Raw genomic sequence first — 15,916 nt, 5'->3', positions numbered from 1 at the left:
AAGTGTACTTTGAAGATGTTGTGGGTTAGGCTCCAGACCAGCATGATAAAGTGAATATCGCAATCAAGAAACTCACACCAATTTTTTTTGTTTCCTAGAGCATATAAAATTTATGCTTATACTAATACTACACTGTCGTTTACTAAGTGTGCAATTGCATTATATCTATAAAAACAATATATATATACTTTAATCACAAATCACTTTTTTTGCTAAAGATGCTAATGATCATCAGGGCCTTCAATAAATCATATCCATCCATCAGATGAATCACTATCTATGGCAATGGTAGCCTTACAAAATGCATTTATTAAATAGTAAGGCTGGAAAGTTGAAATTACTCCTTGATCCACATGCTGCAGAATGGATATTTTGTTAGCAGGCATCAAAACATTGATTTCCTTGTACATCTTCATCAGAGCTCATGGGAGACCATGTACATTGACAAGAAGCAGTAATACTTTGAAAGAATTCTTTTTTTTTCAGAGCAATACATCTCAATACTAAGCTTAAAATAGTCAGCAAACCATGCTGTAAACAGATGTGCTGTAATCCAGGCTTTGTTTTTCCATTTCTAGAGCACAGGCAGAGTACATTTAGCATAATTCTTAAGAGCCCTGCAATATTTGGAATGGTAAATGGCTTCATCTTAAAGCCACCACCTGTATTAGCCCCAAACAAGAGAGTCAGCCTGTTCTTTGAAGCTTTCAAACTTCTAACTATGAAAATTGTAGATTGCATCTTCTTCCAATATATGGCTATTTAGTCTACAATGAAAATCTATTGTTTAGTGCAGCCACCTTGAATGGTCTTAGCTAGATCTTCTGGGTAACTTACTGTAGCTTCCAGATCAACACTTGTTGGCTTGTCTTGTGCTTTTATTTTATGAAGATGGCTTCTTTCCTTAAACCTCATGAACCAACCTCTGCTAACTTCAAGCTTTACTTCAGCAGCTCCCTCATCCCTTTCATCCCTCATAAAATTGAAGAGACTTAGGGTCTTGCTCTGGATTAGGCTTTGGCCCAAAGGAAATTGTGGCTAGTTTGATCTTCTATCCAGAACACTAAAACTTGTTTCAAATCAGCAATGAGGCTGTTTTGCTTTCTTATCATTCATATGTTCACTGGACTAGAACTTTTAATTTTTTTCAAGAACTTCTTTGCTGGATATCCACTACTTGGCTGCTTTCCACAAGAGGTCTAGCTTTTAATCTTATCTCAGGTTTTAACTTACCTTCCTTCTTAAGCTTAATCATTTCTAGCTTTTAATTTAAAGTGAGAGATATGTGAAACTTTTTTTTGTTACTTGAACACTTAGAGGTGATTGTAGGGTTATTAATTGGCTTAATTTCTATATTGCTGTGTCTCAGGGAACAGGGAGGCACAATGAGAGAGAGAAAGACAGGGGAACTGCAGGTAAGTGGAGTACTCAGAACACACAAAACATTTATCCATTAACTTAATGGCAACATAGAGAGACCCCTAAAACAATTGTAATAGTAACTGGTCATAGGTCACCATTACAGATACAATAATAATGAAAAAGTTTGAAATATTGTGTGAATTACCAGTGTGTGATACAGAGACACAAAGTGAGCACATGCTGTTGGAAAAATGGTGGTGATAAAATTGCTAGACACAAGGTTGCCACAAACCTTCAATTTGCAAAAAATGCAATATCTGCAAAGCCCAATAAAGTGTAGCACAATAAACTGAGGTATGCTTGTGTTAATGGAAAAAAGCAAGCTCTGTAAAATATTTAAAATAGGTTTATTCTGAGCCAATATGAGTGACCATGGCTCAGGAAAACACAAACCCAAGAAGGCTTAAGTGGTCCCAAGGCAGCTGGATTACGGTTTTGGTTTTATAAATTTTAGGGAGGTAAGACTTACAGGCAAACGCATAACTCAATGCATGGAAAGTATACATTGGTTTGGCCAGAAAAGGCGAGATATCTTGCAGTGGGGACTTGCAGGTTATAGGTAATTTAAGAGACTCTTTACTTTCCGATTTGTTAAAGAAGTAAGGCTCTCACTAAAACTTGGAGTCAGCAAAAAGAAATGTTTTAAGTTAAGGATGCCATGTAGCAAGATTGATGGCCTGCAGACAAGACTTAACTTTTGCTTTGTAGGGCCTTAAGTCTTATTTATTATTTGGTATCAAAATGATGCAGGATTTTTCTCAGTCACTTTGCCAGCTAGAGACCTTCGGCCAGCAACGCCCCTGCCCAGGCCTTGCTCCCACCCGGGTTCGCTGCAGGAGACACCCCATCTACTCAGCCCGCCGGGCAGTGCCTGGCTTGCACCCTGGCGTGAATCCCATGGCCACCATGACTGCGCACTCAGTCCCTGGTGGGAGGAGGTGTGTGAGTGAGCTAGTGCGAGCTGCGGCCCGTGGTTCTAAACACTGGCACAGGAGTGAGTTCCATGCAGGGCTTGCGGCTGGACTAGGCGTGTTGCAAGCAACTCCTGCAGTGGATTCCAGTGTTCAGACGAGGGGAATGCAGTGGTGCCCAGAGAGAGGTGCCTGCAACCCTGAGGCCCCAGAGGGTGTGTTACAGCATGCTAATTAGCTCTTTTAGCCCACTGTCTGCAGCCTGATGGGTGGCGGTGCACTCACTGTTCTGTCAGCCCGTTACCCCTCTCCAGCCTGGGGCTCCTGGGCTGGCTCAGCTACGCCTCTGCTTCTCATCAAGTGGGGCGGCTACCCTTACCCGGTCAAGGGCAGAGGGCCACGGTGTTACCGTCTTCTTTGTACCTGCATTTGATGAGTCCTGAGTTCTTGTCCTGCATCCAAGAAGAATGAGATCTCCCTGAAAGTTGAAGGGTGAAGAGGGCGGAGAAGAATTTTTTTGAACAATGAAACAGATCTCAGCGGGGTCTCTCTCTCAGCTGGGGCTTTTACGGGCTCAGAATTGGGGAGTGCATGCTGATTGGTTTGTGAGTATGCAAAAGAGGCTGAAAGACACCACTCAAAGGTGAGCATGGCAGTGTAAAAAACCAATTAGGGAAGGGTAGGTATATGTAAAATAGTTGAAGGGTGGGGATCAATCAGAGGAAGTCATACCAAATGGGAGGAAGGGTTCTCAATCTAGTCCGCAGATTTATCCAAGATTGTGACTTGGTTTTTCAGGCTTTAAACTGTCTTTGGTTTGAAAGTCGGGTTTCACCAGGGGCCCACCCCTATCTGCCTAGGATTTGTCTGCTTCCTGTCGTTATCATTATTGCCATGAAGAGTCTGTTTTGTCAGCCTGAAGACTTCTATTTTAACATAAAAGCTTCTCAGTTGCTGTGCCTGAACTCCAAAAGGAAGGGAGTATTATGAAGCAGGACTGACTTCCCTTTTTGTCATGGCCAAGAATTCAGTTTTTAAGGTTTTTCTGGGGTCCCCTTGACCAAGAAGAGATCCATTCAGTCAGTGGGGGTTAGGATTTATTTTTAGTTTCCACCAGTATTATAAATTTTACATACATATAATTCTATATATATTATTTGTGTGTGTGAAATAAACAAAGACATACAAAGACATATTTCTTTCTTTTTTTTTTTTTTGAGATGGAATTTTGCTTTTGTTCCCCAGGCTGGAGTGCAATGGCGTGATCTCAGCTCACTGCAACGTTGGCCTCCTGCATTCAAGTGATTCTCCTGCCTCAGCCTCCCATGTAACTGGGATTACAGGCATGTGCACCATGCCTGGCTAATTTTTGTATTTTTAGTAGAGATGGGGTTTCTCCATGTTGGCCAGGCTGGTCTCAAACTCCCAACCTTAGGTGATCTGCCCACCTTGGCCTCCCAAAGTGCTAGGATTACAGGCATGAGCCAGTGTGCCCGGCCACAAAGACCTGTTTCTAGAAAAATATGGTTGCATATCCAAACTGATTCAATAAAGTAAGGAAAATACAAATTTCCTGTGGGCCATTAAAAATTTAATTAGTTGTCAAAAATTAGCATTTTTTATAAATAATTACCAATTAAACTTTAGCACATAGGTATGTCTTAGTTCCACCAAACATTTCATAATTATTTTAGCCTTCATTTTTGAAAATCGTCTGAATCAATTATTATACTGGAGTTATAAAATCATGATTTTAAAAAATCTATTATTCCTTTTACACCATTACCCAGCATATTCTTCCTGTTCCTCCTAGTGGACAGAGATAGAATATATGTATGTGTATATGAATATAAAAAAAAAGTATATATAATCTTATGTTGATATCTCAAATTCAAGTTTACTATTTTAGCATTTTACTCTTACACTTTCATATTTATACTTCTATTGTCTAACATTGAAAATCTTAGTTTATAATAATAGTATATATTAATTATTTGCTATGTCATATACAAATACATACACAACAAAAATATCAAACAGAAAGTTTACTACTAGGCTTCAATTGTTTGTATTTACTTTTATTTTTATATGTATCTAAAATATTTCAAAAGCATATAAAATGCATTTTCAGACATACTGTTACATTTCATTTTCCCTCAACCTTACTATGACCATACCATGTAGTTAACCATTTAGTAAGTTAAATGCTATATTTTTTATTCTTCCTGGGTGTCTTTTTTATTATTATTATACTTAAGTTCTGGGATACATGTGCAGAATGAGCAGGTGTGTCACATAGGTATACATGTGCCATGGTGGTTTGCTGCACCCATCAACCTGTCATCTACATTAGGTATTTCTCCTAATGCTATCCCTTCCTCCCCTTGACTCCACCACCAGACAGGCCCAAGTGTCTGATGTTCCCCTTCCTATGCCCATATATTCTCATTGTTCGACTCCTACTTATGAATGAGAACATGCAGTGTTTGGTTTTCTGTTCCTGTGTTAGTTTGCTGAGAATGATAGTTTCCAGCTTCATCCATGTCTCTGTAAAGGATGTAAACTCATTATTTTTTATGACTGCATAGTATTCCATGGTGTATATGTGCCACATTTTCTTTATCCAGTCTATCATGGATGGGCATTTGAGTGGGTTCCAAGTCTTTGCTATTGTAAATAGTGCTGCAATAAACATATGTGTGCATGTGTCTTTATAGTAGAATGATTTATAATCCTTTGGGTGTATACCCAGTAATGGGATTGCTAGGTCAAATGGTACTTCTAGTTCTAGATCCATGAGGAATTGCCACACTGTCTTCCACAATGGATGAACTAATTTACACTCCCACCAACAGTGTAAAAGCATTCCTATTTCTCCACATCCTCTCCAGCATCTGTTTTTTAATGATTGCCATTCTAACTGGTGTGAGATGGTATCTCATTGTGGTTTTGATTTGCATTTTTCTAATGACCAGTGATGATGAACTGTTTTTCATATGTTTGTTGGCCGCATAAATGTCTTCTTTAGCGATGTGTCTGTTCATATCCTTTGCCCACTTTTTGATAAGGTTGTTTTTTTCTTGTAAATTTGTTTAAGTTCTTTGTAGAGTCTGAATATTAGCCCTTTGTCAGATGGATAGATTGCAAAAATATTCTCCCATTCTGTAGGTTGTCTGTTCATGCCGATGATAGTTTCTTTTGCTGTGCAGAAGCTCTTTAGTTTAATTAGATCCCATTTGTCAATTTTGGCTTTTTTTGCAATTGTTTTTGGTGTTTTAGTCATGAAGTATTTGCCCATGCCTATGTCCAGAATGGTATTGCCTAGGTTTTCTTCTAGGGTTTTTATGGTTTGAGGACCTATGTTTAAATCTTTAATAAATCTCGAGTTAATTTTTGTATAAGGTGTAAGGAAGGGGTCCGGTTTCAGTTTTCTGCATATGGCTAGCCAGTTTTTCCAACACCAGTTATTAAATGGGGAATCTGTTTCCCATTGCTTTTATCAGATTTGTCAAAGAACAGATGGTTGTAGATGTGTGGTGTTATTTCTGAGGCCTCTGTTCTGTTCCATTGTTCTATATACCTGTTTTGGTACTAGTACCATGCTGTTTTGGTTACTTTAGCCTTGTAGTATAGTTTGAAGTCAGGTAGCATGATGCTTCCAGCTTTCTTCTTTTTGCTTAGATTGTCTTGGCTATACAGGCTCTTTTTTGGTTCCATATGAAATTTAAAATAGTTTTTTTCTAATTCTGTGAAGAAAGTCAATGGTAGCTTCATGGAGATAGCATTGAATCTATAAATTACTTTGGGCAGTATGGCCATTTTCATGATATTGATTCGTCCTATCCATGAGCATGGAATAATTTTCCATTTGTTTGTGTCCTCTCTCATATCCTTGAGCAGTGGTTTGTAGTTCTCCTTGAAGAGGTCCTTTACATCTCTTGTAAGTTGTATTCCTATGTATTTTATTCTCTTGGTAACAATTGTGAATGAGAGTTCACTCATGATTTGGCTCTCTCTTTGTCTATTATTGTTTGTATACGGAGGCTTGTGATTTTTGCACATTGATTTTGCATCCTGAGACTTTGCTGAGTTTGCTTATCAGCTTAAGGCATTTTGGGGCTGAGATGATGGGGTTTTCTAAATATACAATCATATCATCTGCAAACAGAGGTAATTTGACTTCCTCTCTTCCTATTTGAATACCCTTTATTTCTTTCTCTTGCCTGATTGCCCTGGCCAGAACTTCCATTTCTATGTTGAATAGGGGTGATGAGAGAGGGCATCTTTGTCTTGTGCCAGTTTTCAAAGGAAATGCTTCCATCTTTTGCCCATTCAGTATGATATTGGCTGTGGGTTTGTCATAAATAGCTCTTATTACTTTGGGATACGTTGTATCAATACCTAGTTTATTGAGTGTTTTTAACATGAAGGGGTGTTGAATTTTATCAAAGGCTTTTTCTGCATCTATTGAGATAATCATGTGTTTTTTGTCATTGGTTCCATTTATGTGATGGATTACATTTATTGATTTGCTTATGTTGAACCAGCCTTGCATCTCAGGGATGAAGCCAACCTGATCATGGGGGATAAGCTTTTTAATGTGCTGCTGGATTTGGTTTGCCAGTATTTTATTGAGGATTTCCACATTGATGTTTATCAGGGATATTGACCTGAAATTTTCCTTTTTTGTTGTGCCTCTGCCAGGTTTTGGTGTCAGGATGATGCTGGCCTCATAAAAAGAGTTAGGGAGGATTCCTTCTTTTTCTGTTGCTCGGAATAGTTTTAGAAGGAATGGTACCAGCTCCTCTTTGTACCTCTGGTAGAATTCGGCTGTGAATCCATCTGGTCCTGTGCCTTTTTGCGGTTGGTAGGCTATTAATTACTGCCTCAATTTCAGAACTGGTTATTGGTCTATTCAGGGATTCAACTTTTTCTTGGTTTAGTCTTGGGAGGGTGTATGTGTCCAGGAATTTGTCCATTTCTTCTAGATTTTCTAATTTATTTGCATAGAGGTGTTTGTAGTATTCTTTGATGGTAGTTTGTATTTCTGTGGGATCAGTGGTGATAACCCCTTTATCATTTTTTTATTGTGTCTGTTTGATTCTTGTCACTTTTCTCCTTTATTAATCTGGCTACCAGTCTATTTTGTTAATCTTTTCAAAAAATCTGCTCTTGTATTCATTGATTTTTGAAGGATTTATCATGTCTTTATATCCTTCAGTTCTGCTCTTATCTTAGTTATTTCTTGTCCTCTGCTAGTTTTTGAATTTGTTTGCTCTTCCTTCTCTAGTTTTTTAAATTGTAGTGTTAAGATGTTGATTTTAGATATTTCATACTTTCTCCTATGGGCATTTAGTGCTATAAATTTTCCTCTAGACACTGCTTTAGCTGTGTCCCAGAGAATTCTGGTATGTTGTGTCTTTGTTCTCACTGGTTTCAAAGAACTTATTTATTTCTGCCTTAATTTCATTATTTACCCAGTAGTCATGCAGGAGCAGCTTGTTCGGTTTCCATGTAGTTGTGCAGTTTTGAGTGAGTTTCTTAATCCTGAGTTCTAATTTGATTGCGCTATGGTCTGAGAGACTGTTTGTTATGATTTCCATTCTTTTGGATTTGCTGAGGAGTGTTTTACTTCCAATTGTGTGGTCAATTTTAGAATAAGTGCTATATGGTGCTGAGAAGAATGTATGTCCTGTTGGTTTGGGGTAGAGAGTTCTGTAGATGTCTATTAGGTCTGCTTGATGCAGAGCTGAGTTCACAACCTGAATATCCTTGTTAATTTTCTATCTCATTGATCTGTCTAATATTGACAATGGGGTGTTAAAGTCTCCCACTATTTTTTTCTGGGAGTCTAAGTCTCTTCGTAGGTCTCTAAGCACTTGCTTTATGAATCTGGGTGCTCCTGTATTGGGTGCATATATATTTAGGGTAGCTAGCTCTTCTTGTTGCATTGATGCCTTTACCATTATATGATGCCCTTCTTTGTCTTTTTTGATCTTTGTTGGTGTAAAATATGTTTTATCAGAGACTAGAATTGCAACCCCTGCATTTTTCTTTTCTTTTTTCTTTTTTTTTTGGTTCTTTTTTTTTTTTTTGGCTTCCCATTTGCTTGGCAAATCTTCCTCCATCCCTTTATTTTGAGCCTATGTGTGTTTTTGCAAGTGAGGTGGGTCTCCTGAATACAGCACACCAATGGGCCTTGACTCTTTCTCCAATTTGCCAGTCTGTGTCTTTTAATTGGGGCATTTGTTCCATTTATATTTAAGGTTAATATTGTTATGTGTGAATTTGACCCTGTCATTATGATACTAGCTGGTTATTTTGCCCATTAGTTGATGCAGTTTCTTCATAGTGACAATGGTCTTTACATTTTGGTATGCTTTTGCAGTGGCTGGTACTGGTTTTTCCTTTTCATATTTAGTGCTTCCTTCAGGAGCTCTTGTAAGGCAGGCCTGGTGGTGACAAAATCCCTCAGCATTTGCTTGTCTGTAAAGGATTTTATTTTTTCTTCACTTATGAAGCTTAGTTTCACTGGATAGGAAATTCTGGTTGAAAATTCTTTTCTTTAAGAATGTTGAATGTTGGCCCTCACTCTCTTCTGGCTAGTAGGGTTTCTGCAGAGAGATCTGCTGTTAGTCTGTTGGGCTTCTCTTTGTGGGTAACCCGACCTTATTCTCTGGCTGTCCTTAACATTTTTTCCTTCATTTCAACCTTGGTGAATCTGACCTTTATGTGTCTTGGGGTTGCTCTTCTCAAGGCTAATCTTTGTGGTGTTCTCTGTATTTCCTGAATTTGAATGTTGGCCTGTCTTGGTGGGTTGTGGAAGTTCTCCTGGATAATATCCTGAAGTGTGTTTTCCATTCTTCTTATCACTTTCAGGTACAACAATCAAACCTAGGTTTGATCTCTTCACATAGTCCCATATTTCTTGGAGGCTTTGTTTGTTCCTTTTCATTCTTTTTTCTTTAACCTTGTCTTCATGTTTTATTTCATTAAGTTGATCTTCATTCTCTGATATCCTTTCTTCTGCTTGTCAGTTCGGCTATTGATACTTGTGTATGCTTCAGGAAGTTCTCATGCTGTGTTTTTCAGCTCCATTAGATCATTTCTGTTCTTCTCTAAACTGGTTATTCTAGTTAGCAATTGCTGTAACTTTTTATCAATATTCTTAGCTTCCTTGCATTGGGTTAGAACATGCTCCTTTAGCTTGGAGGAGTTTTTTATTACCCACCTTCTGAAAGCCTACTTCTGTAAATTCATCAAACTCATTCTCCATCCAGTTTTGTTTCCTTGCTGGCGAGGAGTTGTGATACTTTGGAGGAGAAGAGGCATTCTGGTTTTTCAGCCCTTTTTGCACTGTTTTTTCCTCATCTTTATGGATTTGTCTACCTTTGGTCTTCGATGTTGGTGAACTTTGGATGGGGTTTTTGAGTGGTCGCCCTTTTTGTTGATGTCAATGCTACTGCTTCTTGTTTGTTAGTTTTCCTTCTAACAGTGAGGCCCCTCTTCTGCAGGTCTGCTGGAGTTTGCTGGAGGTCCACTCCAGACCCTGTTTGCCAGAGTATCACAAGTGGAGGCTGCAGAACAGCAAAGATTGCTGCCTGCTCCTTCCTCTGGAAGCTCTGTCCCAGAGGGCCACCTGCCAGATGCCAGACAGAGCTCTCCTGTATGAGGTGCCTGTTGACCCCTGCTGGGAGGTGTCTCCCAGTCAGGAGGCATGGGGATCAGGGACCCACTTGAGGAGACAGTCTGTCCCTTAGCAGAGCTCCAGTGCTGTGCTAGGAGGTCCGCTGCTCTGTTCAGAGCCAGCAGGCAGGAATGTTTAAGTCTGTTGAAGCTGCGCCCACAGCTGCCCCTTCCCCCAGGTGCTCTGTCCCAGGGAAATGGGAGTTTTATCTATGTAGTAAGTGCCTTACTAGGGCCGCTTCCTTTCTTTCGGAGATGCCCTGCCCACAGAGGAGGAATCTAGAGAGGCAGTCTGGCTACAGTGGCTTTGCCAAGCTGCGGTAGGCTCCGCCCAGTCCGAAATTCCTGGTGGCTTTTTTACACTGTGAAAACCACCTACTCAAGTCTCAGTAATGGTGATGCCCCTCCCCCAACCAAGCTCGAGTGTCCCAGGTCAACTTCAGACTACTGTGCTGGCTGGGAGAATTTCAAACCAGTGGATCTTAGCTTGCTGGGCTCCATGGGGGTGGGATCCTCTGAGCAAGACCACTTGGCTCCCTGGCTTCAGCTCCCTTTCCAGGGAAGTGAGCAGTTCTGTCTCACTGGTATTCCAGGCACCACTGGGGTACAAAAAAAAAGGAAAATTCCTGCAGCTAGCTCGGTGTCTGACCAAACTGCCGCCCAATTTTGTGCTTGAAACCCAGTTCCCTGGTAGTGTAGGCACCCAAGGAAATCTCCTGGTCTGCGGGTTGCGAAGACCATGGGAAAAGCATAGCGTCTGGGCTGGAATGCACCTTTTCTCAAGGCACAGTCCCTCACAGCTTCCCTTGGCTAGGGGAAGGAGTTCCTGACCCCTTGCACTTCCCGGGTGAGGCGATGCCCCACCCTGCTTCTGCTTGGCCTCCTTGGGCTGCACCCACTGTCTAACCAGTCCCAGTGAGATGAGCCAGGTACCTCAGTTAGAAATGCAGAAATCACCCACCTTCTGCATTGGTCTCGCTGGGAGCTGCAGACCAGAGCTGTTTCTATTCGACCATCTTGCTCGGGAATCTGGGTGCCTTAATAAAAAAATAAGTATATACACACACACACACACACACCCCACACTAGATTAAATTTTTTAATCACACTATTCTTCTTTTCCATTTTGTTATCTTTTTAATTTAATGAGTGAGGTGTGCTAAAGTCTTGCATTATGATTAATTCATTATAAGTCCTTCTTGTGATTCCATCAAGTTTGACTTTATATATTTGGGGACTATGATATTAGATGCACAATACACACTTTCAAAATCATTATATTGTCTTGATGAGTTGAAAAATTTAACATTATCAAATATAAGCTCTTCATCTTTTAAAAGTGTTGATCTTTCTCAGTGGTGTTCAAGCTGCTTCCTTCCTGCATTCAAATTGTATTTAGTTTGTCAAAAAAAAAAGACTCTTGTGTTATGACTTTGGACAGTCAATGTCTGTTCTTTCATGTGGAGACTCTTTCTCTTTATTCTATACAAGCAAATGTTAATGAAGCCCTTGCCCCTCATCCTCCCATCCTGCTCTCTCCAGAGCCAGAAGGAATTCAGACTGCTTATTTTTATACTCACCGATATCCTGCAGAAAAAGGTAAGGAAGAGTTTATAAAACCTGAAAAAAAAAAAGGATGTAACTTTTTCACTTCTCCCAAGGGCTGAGTCTCCTGTGAAATAACTGACAGTTTTTGGATATACAGAAGGAAATGATGAATTGAGCTAAGTGTCCAGATGTGTGCTCAACAGATGTATAAGGTTACAATTTAAAAGACAAGGAATGCAATACCTGCATCTTTACAAAGGAAGTTGTAAATAGTAAACACATCATTCAGCCTTCAGTAATCCGACTTTTTTAAGGTTTTTAAAGGAACAGATTTCTTTTTCATCTTTTTAAACCATTTAACAGTGCACTAAAAAACCTTATATATGTAAAACCAGTTCAGTAAAGGTCATAAACTGAATTAAATAAAATTGAGACTTGGAAAATGATAAAACTTGCTGTATCATTTGTAATATGTAGATGAACATTTGTGATGAATTCATTTTTACCGTAAAATAGAAATGAATCATTTAAAAAATATTTACTCATCTATAATTGGGGGATTTTGTACATGCTTCCCTCACCATCTTCTCCTTCTCTCTCTCTCTCTTCCTTTTTTAAGTATGAGCAATCTTTATTGTTGTTATTTAAAACATTATGATGTTTGGCCTACTTCCAATAATTTCATTATTTTTAATTGATTAAAATTTGTATATATTTATTGTGTAAAACATTATGTTTTGAAATATGTATACATTGTGGAATGGCTCAGTTGAGCTAATTTACATCATACCTCACATACTTATTATTTTTGTAGTAAAGTAATTTACATCATACCTCACATACTTATTATTTTTGTTATTCACTGTAGTCACCATGGTGTACGATCGATCTCTTGAACCTATTCCTCCTGTCTAACTGAAATTTTATATCCTTTGTCTAGCATCTTCCCAACTACTCCTATGCACATACCCTGTCTACAGTACTAAACATCTTCATCAACAGCTTGAAAATATTCTGAGTTAACTCAGGCTAAAGAAAACTGTTGAAGAAATAACAAAATGACTTCATTGCTTATAAATCCTACAGGACAACATTGTGCTTTTTGAAATATATTTCTTAATTCTCCTAGAAACTATTATGAATAATATCTTAAAATATAAAACAAGAAAAGTTCAGTCTTTCTACATGAGAAGGCTATTGGAGCATGACACAGGAATGTTCTAGTTGGAGACAGATATTGCCTTCATTTAAATATGCATTCATATACAGCAAAATTGTCTTTTATGTTCCACATGGTTACCATGCCTTGCATGCTTTTTAAAAGCCAAAACGTACATCCACGGGAATGACAACAAAGCACATTCTAATTCCAGGGATTTAACGGGCTCTGGGATTTCAAGTTGAACTTCTTTGGCTGAGCTCCAATACACAGCTGAAGAAGTGGGGAGAAAGGAACCGTTTGGGTTCTGTGTTTTCCTAAAGCTCATACAATTCTGGAGAGAAAAATAATGTCCAAAGTAAAAGTATGATGACTTGCTCAGATAACAGGAAGCTGATTCAAAGTGAATTAGGAAGGAGGTCTTTACTAAAGAGAAAGTTGTCAGTGGAAATTCACTAGAGAGTTTTCCCAGAGTAAAACCTTTTAGTAGTTTCAGAAGCATAAACAGACAGAAGTGATTCCTCACATTGAAAGAATAATTTTAAAAGTCATAGTGCTTCCTTTTCATCCTCTGTAAATTCACCCAATGGATGAGCTACTTCTCTAGGGTTTAACTTCCTCCCGTGCCTAAACAGACAATTGGTGAGAGAAAAAGGTGAGTAGAGAAAATGCAGAAAGAGGAGGCCAACACTTGATAAACTGTTGCAGCATTGCTGAGCTCACTCACTGCCTCCCATCTCCCACAGCAACCTCTCAATCCTAACATAGATGATGTAGCTTCTCTCCTTCCCTTATTTGTGTTTGAGCACAGAGATGTGGTAGATGAGGGAGTGAGCAAGCTGCCCAAAAGTTGATGAACCCATTTCTGGAGAAGTCTCTGCACCTGAACCAGTAATTCTAAAAGACAAGAGGAAGAGATGCTGAATAAAAAGCTTAATTCAATTATTCATGCAAAGTATACTACTAGAACTTTTTTCCCTTTCTTGATGACATTAAGTAGTTATGCATATGACGATTCTTTTATTGAAGATGTAAATGCATTTTCACATATTCATATACTCTCTTAAGGCATTTCTTTACTTCCTTTCCAAGTTTTTAAATGCCCTTCATTTTTAGAGCAGTGATTTTATAAAGAAGATTAGAGAAGATATTTAAGTTGTGTACAAATTCCTTAATTTCTCTGAGCCTCAACTTTCTGTGTAACATGGGCATAAATACTATATATCTCTCAACGTTTGGTGAGATTAAATGAAATCATTGTGTGTTCAGTGGCTGGTACTAAATACCATATTCATACTACGGTCATTGTTTTAATTATTATCATTCACATATATAACAAGTATGTGGTGACTATTCCAGAATCCGTAAGAATTAGTGCTAAGTGATTAAGGTGCTTTGGCTTATTGATACCATAGTCAATCTCAGAAACTTTAACAGAGAAAAGAAAAGCGGGCTAAGCCGAAAAGAGCACAATAAGTAGATTTTATAAGCCAGGAGTTGATGAGTTCAATTTTAGATATGCTAAAATTGAGGTATCAGACCTCCAAGTGGAAATGTCAATGAGGAAGTTGGATCTAAGACTGGTGTTTAGGGAAGAGATTCAGACTGGAGATATAAACTTGTACATCTTTAGCATATTGGTGGTATTAAAAGCTTTGAGAGAGATTGAGATCCAAAGAAATGGGTCTGGAGGAAGAAGACACTCCAAAAGTTTAGCCCTGTTGTTTTCCATTATTTAGTGTTTGGGGGTCATAGGAGGAACCAGCAAATTAGACTAGGGAAGCAGCATAAAAATATCACAGAAGGGTGGTGGCGTGAAGTCCTGAAAGAGAGTGAAGAAAGTGTTTCAAGGAGAAGATAATGATCTTTTGTGTCAAATACTGAAGAGAGATTCCTCCTTTAGCAATGGTTTCCTCTTAGAGGTCAATTAAAACTCTTGGATGAAAAATAAAAACTGTCTTGCTAGCTTCAGAGAGATGCCAAAATAGTGAGAGATCTCCAAGCCCAATCTTGAAAACAATAAGGACAGAAAATTAAGGTAGCTTTCCAACCCACATTTATTGTGTGGCCACTGGCAAGCCTGCAGAAACAGCCATGGAAATAAGTAGTGATCCTGATTGTCTTGGGGGACAAGAGAGTAGGAGTAAAAGCTCAGGGTCTGCCTTGATGGGGACTTGACAAAGGTAAGGGTCAAAAAGTTATAAATCCACCACCTCACCCACACTCCCACCAGAATGTGAAGAAAATATTGTCTTGATTCTGGGGAAATAGAAGAAATAAAGAAAGAAAAAACAGAAATAGCCTCAGAGAGTTTGTAAATCAAACACCAGCCCGAACAGATAATTATAGTCAAAATCCACAATGCCAGGTGTATCCACAACATTTTGTGGTTTAAAGTTGTGCTATAGGTATCTGATAAAAACTGAAGTAAAAGCCCCTGGGAAAATAGTAATGTTCGTCTATGTCTCAATTATTTTTTCAATAGCAATGACCATCACATATCAAAGAACATCAGGCACACAAACAGACAAGCAATTATGCTTGACAATCAGCAAAAACAAAAGAAAAATGAAACTCAACTGCAGATTTCAATAGTATCAGACACAGATTATGAAACAACTATGTGTAATACCTTTAAGGAAATAAAGGCAATCTCACAAGTAATTAGATTACAAAAACAATTTTAAGTGACATGCAAATTTGCAAAAGAAATAATTTCTGGAGATGAGAATTATGAAAATGGAATTGAGTACTCAGATCTGATAACAGATTATAAAGCAGAAGAGAACATTACTCAATAGTAGATTGAAAGAAACTATACAAAATATAGTAGGAAAAAGGAAAAAGGAAAAAAAAGATAGCAAACATAGAGAATAAAGTGCGGTTTCATGTATATTGAATAGTACTTGGAGCCAATGCTAACATTACTCCAAAGAATTATAGGGAAATAAAAATACATTGAAATAGAAAAATTTCTAGAAAATATTATCTGAGAATACCAATCCATATAGTAAATAGCAAGCAATTTACTAAGTGACAATATGTGAGACACTCCAAATAGTCAATTCAACTAAATATGTAGGCAAACCTCTAGTTGACATACTTATCAATTGAAAAAGGAGTATCAGACTTTAGGCCGGGCATAGTGGTTCACGCCTGTAATCTCAGCACTTTGGGAGGCCGAGGAGGG

At 38.5% G+C, this 15,916-nt stretch overlaps 1 protein-coding gene across 7 annotated transcripts in view, besides 1 other annotated feature; it reads left to right on the top strand.

The window, feature by feature from the left end:
• AGMO (alkylglycerol monooxygenase) overlaps window positions 1–15,916 on the top strand; it is a 444,793-nt gene that overhangs the window by 33,603 nt on the left and 395,274 nt on the right. The window lies entirely within an intron of this gene.
• Window positions 9,692–10,500: an enhancer, noted in NCBI's record as "H3K27ac-H3K4me1 hESC enhancer chr7:15557538-15558346 (GRCh37/hg19 assembly coordinates)". NCBI's record gives its function as "activates a minimal SCP1, AML or CMV promoter by ChIP-STARR-seq in primed H9 embryonic stem cells {active_cell/tissue: H9 hESC(primed)}" and the evidence as "EXISTENCE:reporter gene assay evidence [ECO:0000049][PMID:30033119]".

This window comes from Homo sapiens, chromosome 7 (genome assembly GCF_000001405.40).
Source record: "Homo sapiens chromosome 7, GRCh38.p14 Primary Assembly".
NCBI classification, from domain to species: Eukaryota; Metazoa; Chordata; class Mammalia; order Primates; family Hominidae; genus Homo; species Homo sapiens.
Note: the sequence above shows the minus strand (reverse complement) of the source record. Positions and strands in the feature narration are given on the sequence as shown.